General features: G+C 37.4%; 1 protein-coding gene across 3 annotated transcripts in view; it reads left to right on the forward strand.

Annotated features, from left to right (window-relative positions):
- The window catches only part of GTF2F2 (general transcription factor IIF subunit 2), a 164,384-nt gene that overhangs the window by 96,591 nt on the left and 60,397 nt on the right, over positions 1 to 7,396 (forward strand). The gene's annotated exons all lie outside the window — the stretch shown is intronic.

A 7,396-nucleotide genomic window follows, 5' to 3' on the forward strand; every position in this document is an offset into this window, starting at 1 on the left:
CCAGCCTGGCCAAGAGAGTGAAACCCCGTCTCTACTAAAAATAGAAAAATTAGCTGGGCATGGTGGTGGCCACCTGTAATCCCAGCTACTCGGGAGGTTGAGGCAGAGAATTGCTTGAACCTGGGAGGTGGAGGTTACAGTGAGCCGAGATCACGCCGCCACGCTCCAGCCTAGGTGACAGAGCGAGACTCCATCTCAAAAAAAAAAAAAAAAAAAGATTCAGCTCAAATGGGAAATCTCCCTGACCGTTTCTCTTCACACAGAATAAGTACCATGTCCACCAAACTCCAGCTACACTTTTTAAAATAAACCATTACTCACATTTTGCTTTTTATTTTACCTTTATTACTTTTGTTTCTGTCTGTGCTAGATTGTGAGCCCCTTGAGGTCAGGGACTGTATCTTGTTCATCTTCATTCTAACAGCTTTATGTTCAGTTAACACTAGTAGAGCAACCAAAGATGAGCATTTTAAAGTTAAGGATTTATAGTTACACCTTGGTTAATGAATCTCCAGAATTGATACTCTTTTTTAGTTAGCTTTGTTTAAAATTCAAATTATAAGTCCTGAGAAGCAGTATTGGCATGTGATGGTGTTTCTACAAAGCCTTACAGCTTTGCAGGATAAAAATACCTCAGCACACAGTTTCTCTTTGTTCACTCACAGTTGAAAATCAACAGGGTTAACCTTAGGCAAAACTATGAAGTATGGAAAGTTTGTCTTTATTATCCAGGCATCTCCTGTTTTTACTTTTTCCCCTTAGCAATGTCTGTCTTTAGGTGTCTACTTTTTATCTTGTTCTGATCTTTTCTAGCCTGTCAATTCTGGATATATTTTAAGAATGAATGGGCATAAGTCAAACTGGGTATTTGGTTTTAAACCTTTTATTACTAAGTGTGAAATAAAAGCCATTAGATTACCTGTTCAAGTAATTTGAGTAGGCAGATTTTTTTCTCCCCATGGGAAAGAAAGAGAACTCACTGAAATTAAACCATTTATAGATTGGCCCCAAACACAAAATTAAGGAATCGTTTTAGTTTGCTGGAGGATTTGTCACCAGGACAACCATCTCTGCTTCGTGGGCCAAATGGGCAGATCTGACCTAGCTGCATTTGTTAGAGATCTGTTCTGAGGATTTAAAATGGGTGCTGAAGGTGACCCACAGAAGTGACCAAATTCCCTTAGGCAGGAGCAGGACAGTCACTGACTAGCCCATATGGCATCTTTGTACGTATTAGAAAAAGGTGCTCCTTCCTCAAGTGTTTTTATTTTTATCTGTCAGAAAATTGTGGTAATTTACAGATTTTGTTAAACAAGAAATTACTGCCATCTGTCAGAAAATTGACACGATAATTGCCATCTCTCATGTGAATGTGCCCCTTTAACACAACGTCATTGTGCACTATAAAACAGGCTGATCTAGGAAGGGGCTGCACCCTCCAGTTTGCTGCAGGCCAATGTGTCCTATTTTCTTACCAGTTTACTTAAAATTTAAGTAATTTCAAATAAACTTGCCTGTCCTTGCAGGCACTGGAATTTTCAATTCTTGGTCTTTGATTTTTCTGAAACATTTGAAAATGCAGAAAAGATACCACATGTTCTTTGTTCAAGAAAAAGGGTCTCATTTAGGGAATTGAATTGATGGGGTGCCGAATGGTCTGGGATTGTTAAATGCTGTTAATCAAGTCTTTAGCTTACTATTAGGAAGAACTAATTTAGACTTTGGGATGATCAGGATTTAAATATTCCTAGTAGTTTGTCACTGACAGTACAGGAACACCTGACTCCTAAGTGTGTTACATTCTATCTGTCTTGCTTGAGACTGTAATGCAGTTGCCATGGGATGTATTGTAAAGAAAACTTGAATTATTTAAGGAATCTTTGAGTTTCTAAGTAGAGAAAGAGAAGATGTTGGGGGTTTTTTTGTTTTGTTTTGTTTTTTTTAAAAAAAAGGCTGCTCAAAGGAAATGACTTTCAGCTAGAATGGTTCAGCCTGCATAGTGGGTCCCTCACTTTTATATGGCTTCATATTTTATGAATTAGAAGTTCTTTTTAGTGACTATCCTTAAAAAAAAAAATCTCATTTCCTTTCTCACAAAAAAGAAAATTGAATCACAGAAAAGTTGCGATTTGCCCAAGGTCATGATTTGTAAATGGCAAAGCTGGAATTTGAACCCACATCTGATTGATTCCAAAGGAATCAGCTGACAAGCTACCTCTTTCAGCTTTCAGTTTCAAAAGGTTGCCTGGCTTATTCGTAGGAAAAGAGAAAGGAGCAGCTGGTACTGTCTCTCTCCTCCCTCTTATTGAATGACCTTCAAAGTCCCACAACTTAAACCAACATTGTTAGTACCATGGTTCCGTTACATTATAAAATAAATACAAGATTCATATAAGATGTAAAATGGTCTCATTCTTTTAGTTTGGAATTTTTATCTAATTTCTGATTTTTTAATTTAAAAGCGAACTTTGATAGCATGATTGAATTGAATTTCAAAGCTCCATATTTCTGCAGGAGAGGTAGGACATTAAATGATTTTACGAGTCTGTGAAGTTTACTTTTCTGAAGTTTATGTGAAATCTCTAATGCTGTGTGTGGGTAGTTTTAATGAACTAGTAGTTGTGCTGTTTTGAAGATCTGCTAATCTATAATGTACCCCAGATATTTCTATTGTCATATATTGTACACTTTTGTTTTTATGACTTGAAAGCCTCAAAATGTCTAAAACCTTTTTCTTTTAATGTGTTATATATTTGAGGAAATCCCAAAGGAAGGAATTAATAATGTTCAGGCAGAAACTTTTCAAACTGAAAAATAGTACATGTCAGAAAAACGGGAAAGGATGACATATATGGGCGTGGTGAGGTTACATAAAACAAAATATGCCAATGAGCAGTATTCCCAGTAGAACGCGGCTCCATTAGGGCAAAGACCTTTTTTGTCTGATTCATTTATGGGTGTGTTTCTCATGAATAGAAGAGTACCTGACACCTAGTAGGTGCGTGATAAATACTTGTTAAGTAAAGAAAGGAATGAAAAGCATGTGATTTGGCTTTATGCATTTGTGTCCTACAAGCTGCCCAGGGTTTGATCACAATGACTCATTCTTTTTTAAGCTATTGCATGCCAAGTTGATTTATCTGCTTTTGTTACTTCCCTATATTTCATAGCTTCAGAGTGCCATTTATTACTCATTTGTTTAACAGATGTTTACTGAGCATCTAGTGTATACTAAGCAGTGTAACATTAAAAAGCAACCAGATCTTATGTTTCTTGGAAAATTGATCATACTAATTTAATGTAACTAATAATTTAGGGTATTATTTTATGCTGTGTGAGAAATTGGCACAGGCAGTAAATACTAGATTTCAGAAGTCAAACTTCATCATATAAGTATTTTCCATACTTATACTACCATATAAGTATCAGTAGACTTTGACTAGATAAAGAGTGGAGGGAGGGCTCCCAGGCAGGAATGGCACAGCCCAACCAAGGAAGGGATAAAACAATAGCAGTGTTCTGGGAAACTTAGTAGAGGTCACCCTGGTAAAGCCGAGATGGACAGAAAAAGGAATACATAGAATTGCCTGGTCGGTTGGGCTGATGGTAGTTTATTTTGTGCCAGACTGAACGGGCTAGACTTGATCTAGTAAGAGTCACTGATCGAGTGTATTTTACTCTGAGGGGGGTTCCTAGGTCTCCTTCAGGGCTCTGTCTTTGGTACAATTCTTCTCCTTTGGTTACTGACCTTAGTCATCTTTGTAGGCTCCTACTTACCGTCTGAACTTTTTGCCTCCGACCTTATCTTGGTAAGTGATCCCATCTGCTTAAAATGTATGTGTGTGTGTGTGTGTGTGTGTGTGTGTGTCTGTGTGTGTATATATATAGAGAGAGAAACCCCAGAATTTGTATCTCTGGCCTAGACCCCTCTAGACCTCTCTCCTGAGCTTTACACTCATGTACACCATTCCCCTTCAGAGCTCTACTTGGATGTCTCCTTCGTGTTTTAACTTCACATGCGTAAAATTGAATTCTTGGTTGTTAGCCCACCTCTAATGCAGTGTCCTCCCTGCCCCCAGTCTTACCCATTTTTTACGCAGTTTCTCAGGTAAAAAACCTGGGAGTTATCCATGATTCTTCTTTTCTTGACAAGACACATCTAGTCAATGACCAAGTCCTGTTAGTTGTACCAACACAATACACCCTGAATCCTACTACACTATTCTAAGCTGCCATTTTTGCTCCAGAATATAAGTTCAGGACTGACTATATAATCTGCAGGACCTAGTGCAAAATGAAAATATGGGGCCTTTTGTTCATACATTATTAAAAATTTCAAAAAGACCACTGAGGGACTTATCCATGTAACCAAAAACCATCTGTACCCCCCAAAACTATAGAAATTTTAATAAAAATGAAATCAGTGACAGTGGAGCATTAAATCAAGCTCAGGGCCCTTCCAAGTGGGGTCCCAGTATGACTGCACAGGCTCCCTCTTCATGAAGCTGGCCCTGCCTCCACTACTGCAGTAACCTCCTAAGTAGTAGCTCCTTCCTTCCCCCTATGGACCATCCCTCACAGGTCAGACTCATTAGTGTAGATCTAGTCATACCACTTCCCTGCTTATTGCAGTTAAAATAAAATGTACAAATCCTGCATCATCTGGCCTTCAGAACTTTGATCTGATCCTGAAGCTTTTTTAACCTCTTCTTCCACTACACATCTCATTCATTAGACAGCAGCCATAGTTGCCACCTTTTATCTGTCAAAAAGAACAAGTATAGTCCCATCTCAGGGCCCTTCTTTCTGTCTAAACACATATCTTTCATCAGATCTTCAGTTGGTAGCCCCCTTCCAACCATGCAGTTCTCTCAGTTTATATGGAACCTCCTCAGATGGGCCTTTCTCGACCACTGCTGGGTGAAATAGTATAGACTTCTCCCCACCGCCGCCACTACCACCACCTAATTATGTGCTATGACATTACTCAGGTTTATTGTATTCTTAACACTTACCATTGTGTGACTACCTTAATTAATTAATTATGACATACTGACTATATCTCCACCACCTAGCATAGTGTCTCATACATAATAGTGCTCAGTAAGTATTCATTGCACGAATGAATGTTTATCATAACCTTTTTAGCCTCTTTCATTTTAGGAGATTTATCTGAAGTTAACAATGTTTTTCTGTTAACAAAAGGAATACATACAATACAAACAAAATCCTTTGGGATTTTGTTTATTTGGGAATTTAACAAGGGCCCTTCCCTTGTTAAGTTTTTTATTTGTTGAGTCCTTATAAAATTGAATTGACTTTTATTTAATGTATTCCAAGTTAATTTTAGAATCTCAATGAAAGAAGCCCCCTTCTCTTTAAAATGGCATGTCTTTAGTATAACATATCATGATACATAAATGTACTTTAGCTTGGATAAGGAATTAAAGATGTCATTTCCTGTTAGAACTAAGGTTAATACTATAGGATGAGCACATTTTTTTTCCCCTCAGAATCAATATTGTAATTCCAAGGGTTTTACAGCCCAAGCTTCAGAAATGCATGTAAACCCATTCAGTAAACCTTGAACATCTATTATATAACAGACACTCAGGAATGAAAAGATGAATAAGACATTTTTCCTGCCCTTGAGTTGTTCACTGTAGATAATTTGTTCTTTGACATGCAACATCCTGTGTAGTTTCAAAAAGATAAATACTAAACCTGCTTCGTGAACTATGGCTAGATCCTTTAGCTTTTAAGACTTGATTTTGGCTGGGCACGGTGGCTCACGCCTATAATTCCAGCCCTTTGGGAGACCAAAGCAAGAGGATTGCTTGAGCCCAGGAGTTCAAGACCATTCTGGGCTGACATGGGAGATTACTTCTAGAAAAGTCATAGTGCAGTATTCTATCAGTTATTTTCATCTTGAATAATTTTATGGAGACTTCATCTCTATAAAAACCTTAAAAAAGCAGCTGAGGGTGGTGTGTGCCTATAGTCCCAGCTACGCCTGTAGTCTCAGCTACTCCTGTAGTCTCAGCTACTCCTGAGGCTGAGGTGGGCCAATCACTTGAGTCCAGGAGGTGCAGGAGGTTGCAGTGAGCTGAGATGATGCCACTGCCCTCCAGCCTAGGTAACAGAGGGAGACCTTGTCTCAATAAAAAAAAAAAAAAAAAAAAAAAAGTTGATTTTTATAATCCAAAATGATGCAGTTGTATAGGAGAAACAAAACACGTGCGCATGCGTGCACCCCTTATGAGGCTAATACGAACAAGAAATACATAAAATTAATTTATAAATCTGTTGTTTACCAATCCTGTCGGGTACGCACACCAATTTTGGAGGGAGTGGGGGTGGTGATGGCCAAATGCTATTGTTCACAGAATTTTCAATTCTTATTACATAATTATATTGAATGCCATATGGTGTTTTATTGTAGTTCATTAAATTACTAGCAGTTTATACTTCTATTTGTGTTATCATTAACGCATTTCAGTAGCACATTTTTTAAATACAAAACTTTAGATATTCCTTTTTCATAAAAAACTATTCAAGATGAAAATAACTGATAGAATACTGCACTATGACTTTTCTAGAAGTAATCCCCCATGTCAGCTCTAAATGGTGAATAAATGACAGTACTGTGCTATACAGTCCTTCAAATATATAAAATAAGAATTGTTGCTAAGCATGTTAACAAAGAACTAAAAATCTTAAAGGATGTCTTGTCTTGACAATTATCTCTGTTGGTTTGGTACATTAATACCATTTTCCCTTCTTGAAATTCTAGAGGAGTAAGTTATTTCTAGTAGTTGGGTTTTCAAAATAGTTACTAAACTCCTTTAAAAGTTTGTAACTTAAAATTTTTAGTTCACTTTAATGAATGAATATCTTTCTAAGCTATATTATATATTAAACTGTATCCATACTTCATGAAGAGTTTGTTGAGAACATAATCTAACTTTCTCTGTAACTTAGTTTTTCATATGAATACCCATTTTTTGATTATATGGCAAATGCCTTCATACACCATCAAGAAGAGTAGGATTATTTGCCCCTTTACAAGATGGCCCCAGAGTATTATGCTTTGCAAGTCCTTTGAGAGTTATATGTAGTTCTTCAGTCCCCTCTTATCAGGTATCATTTTGTCATGTTGATTGTGTTACTGTCTGTTGCAGCCTCTCTCTTCCTTCTGATTTAGTGTTTTTAATTTCCTGTGAGCAAAGAATCCAGTTTAAAAATTCCACTAGAATGAATAGTGTGTGTAAAAGAAGACTGAATAGACTCTGAGTGAAGGTCTGATGGGCTTGCCTATGAGTCAAGTGGTCAGAGCTGTCATGTTTGGCCCTGTGACATCTGTTTTGGTTGCTGAGATGCCCTTTTTTCCCTTCTT

The sequence above is a fragment of the Homo sapiens genome, chromosome 13, assembly GCF_000001405.40.
Source record: "Homo sapiens chromosome 13, GRCh38.p14 Primary Assembly".
Lineage (NCBI taxonomy): Eukaryota > Metazoa > Chordata > Mammalia > Primates > Hominidae > Homo > Homo sapiens.